Source organism: Homo sapiens, chromosome 11, assembly GCF_000001405.40.
Source record: "Homo sapiens chromosome 11, GRCh38.p14 Primary Assembly".
In the NCBI taxonomy this organism is placed as follows: Eukaryota; Metazoa; Chordata; class Mammalia; order Primates; family Hominidae; genus Homo; species Homo sapiens.
The window spans coordinates 93,114,789-93,117,829 of record NC_000011.10 but is presented as its reverse complement, the minus strand read 5'-3'; the positions used below and the strand labels follow the sequence as shown (position 1 = coordinate 93,117,829).

At 41.0% G+C, this 3,041-nt stretch overlaps 1 annotated feature.

The window, feature by feature from the left end:
- Window positions 326-868: an enhancer, noted in NCBI's record as "NANOG-H3K27ac-H3K4me1 hESC enhancer chr11:92850128-92850670 (GRCh37/hg19 assembly coordinates)". NCBI's record gives its function as "activates a minimal SCP1, AML or CMV promoter by ChIP-STARR-seq in primed H9 embryonic stem cells {active_cell/tissue: H9 hESC(primed)}" and the evidence as "EXISTENCE:reporter gene assay evidence [ECO:0000049][PMID:30033119]".

The following is a 3,041-nucleotide window of genomic DNA, read 5'->3' as shown; positions in this document are numbered from 1 at the left end:
AGTTGGTGTCTATCACCCACAAGCCACTTAAGGAAAATGCTTTTCCTCTGCTGTGACTGCTGTTGTCCTTCATGAAATAAATACTGCCCAGCCCAGGAAGCAAGCTTCAGACACTCCGAAAGTCACAACACCCTTGAGATGCCAAATGACAATGTGTTCTGTAAATCAAACGACGTGACGGAGGTAAGTCTCAATCATTTTACAGGTTTATTTTGCCAAAATTGAGCATGTGCCTGGCAAAAAGGAACACAAAATCACAGGAACATCTGTGATCCGTGCTTTTTCCAAACAGGGTTTGAGAACTTTTGTATTTAAAGGGGAAAGAGCAGGCAGTAAGGGAAAGTGGAAAGAAAAGGGGGTAGGGTAAATAAAAGAGAAAAGCAATTGCATTCTTTTGAAGCTTTGATCAGCAGTCACTGAATCCATATTTTACATGTGAAAGAAGCGGGTAGAGGAAGAGTCAATTATGCATTCATCTGGTGTGTGGTTAATCTACATTTTTACGTAAAATAAACAGTAGATAACGCAGTCAAACATGCATTTGTCTTAAGTGAGGGAAGGATGACTCCTAATCCTGTCTTTGTCCCATACCTGTGAAGATAATCTGTTAATTTACATTGTTTGGGTGAAATTCAACAGAATTGTTTTAGGGTAAAGATCTTGGGGCCCACAAGGAATTTCCTTGTAAGCAAATTGTGAGGCAGGACCCTTGGGGAGGTCAGTAACCTTCTTTCTATCAATCTATTTAGGAACAAAATGGAAGGCAGTTTTGCATAACTCAGTTTTCAAGCTTGACTTTTCCCTGTGGCATAATGAGTTTGGGGTCCCAGATTTTTAGTTTCCTTTCACAGTGTTGTGGGACTTTTCCTTAGTTCAGCTAAAGGTGAGGTCCTTGTCACACGGCCACAAAATTTAGGGTCGCAATTTGAAGGGTGAGCAGGGCAGGGTTTATTGGGTGAAAAGGAAAAAAGGGAAACAGGGACCCTCTGCAAAGCCAGAGTCCCTGCTAGTGCGCTTCCAGCCTCTCAGTTCCCAGGTTCCACAAAGGAAGAGGAGGGGCCAGTCTCCTCCCCACTACAAACAGCACAAACTTCTGTGGCTCCACCCAGGTGTGCACTCCTCCCAGTGCATAGGCTGGTTGGAGTTTTGCCAGGGAGCCCTTCCCACCTAGCAGTTTCAACAGTTTTCTCCAGAACTTGTTAGACTGCTAAGCCACACCATATTATGTGCAGAAATGGGAATAACATCCCTTTCCCCCAATTTGAGTGGTAGGCTGTATTGCATAGTGCTTAAGAGCATGGGTTTGGAGGACAGAGATAGATTTTATTTATCTGACTCTAAAATATGAATTAAAAAAATCTATTTCACAAGGTTGTTATGTGGATTAAATTAGTGGCACAGAAAGCTGAAGATAGTGCAGCTCACTCTTCTGGACTTCATTAAAGTTCACTTTCAAATGTTTGTCTTTAACACTATCTCAGAGGCCTGTAGAAAAATGCCAAAAGGAAATGAAAACTTATATCCACACAAAAACTTTTACTTGAGTGTTGATAGTGGCATTATTCATAATGTCTCCAAAGTGGAAACCACCCATATGTCTACCAACAGACGAATGGATAAAGTATGATATAGCGCTGCAATGGAATATTATTTGGCAATAAAAAGAAATGAAGTACTAAAGCATGATATATACAAAGATGAACCTTGAAAACATCATGTTAAGTAAAAGAAGACAGTCATAAAAGTCATGTATTGCATGACTCTATTTATATGAAATGTCCAGAATAGGCAAATTCACTGAAAAAGGAAGTAGATTAGCGGTTGCCTAGAGCTGTGAGAATGGAGAGTTGGGGATGATAACTAAGGTATGAGAGATTTCTTTTTGAGGTGATTCAAATGTTCTAACTTGTGGTGATAGTTGCACAAGTCTGAATATATTAAAACCATTTAATCATATACTTTAAATGTGTGAATTAGATGATTTGTGAAGTAATGTTACCGTAGGTAGCTAGTCAAACATGAGCAGGGCAGGAGAGAGCTTCCCCCAACCCCCACCAGGAATGTCAGGCGACCGTCAGGTGATGGTCAGGCAGTTGTTAAGCTATCTCTCTAAAATAATAATTGGTTGCAGCCGGTGCCAGGGAACGGCAGCCTCCCAACAGATAGAAACATCTAAAACTGATGATCAGCAGCTTCCCAATAAGCTCTCAGGAGTTGGGCAAGTGGGCTCAAGCATGCGCACTAAGAGGGAAAGTGGCAGATGACCTTTGTTTAGGAACACTGGATTGGTAAGGGGAAAATGCCTCAAGTGAGCATGCACACTGTGCATGCGGCCCCTCCCAAGTGCTAGCAGGCCACTGTACATGTGGACAGCCCGCCCCAAGGGAAGAATCAGGGGAGAAGTAGTGCAAGACCCCGGAAGAATGCCAACATATAAAACCCCAAGTCGAAAGGTTAAACCGTACGCTTGATCTCTCAAGTTGCCCGCTTGGCCCTCTTCCGAGTGTACTTTACTTCCCTTCATTCCTGCTCTAAAGCTTTTTAACAAACTTTCACTCCTGCTCTAAAACTTGCCTTGGTCTCTCACTCTGCCTTATACCCCCTCAGTCTTCTGAGGAGGCAAGAATTCAGGTTGATGTAGACCCATATGGATTTGCCAGTGGTAACAATAAGAAATATACAGTCATCCTTCAATATCTGTGGGGGATTGGTTCTGGAATCCCCCCTCAGAAATTAAATCTATGATGCTCAAGTACCTTATATAACATGGTGTGGTATTTGCATATAACCTATACACTGCCTCCCATGTACTTTAAATCATCTCTAGATTCTTATTACAATGTAATGCTATGTAAATTGTTGTTACACTATATTTTTAAAATTTGTGTTATTTTAAATTGTTGTATTATTTTTTATTTATGTTTGTTATGTTTATGTTACGTATTATGTTTTCCAAATATTTTCATTGAATTTGCATTGAATTTACAGATGTAGAGGGCAGAGGGCTCATGGTGCATTTGGTCTTTGTCTTAGGTTTCTGG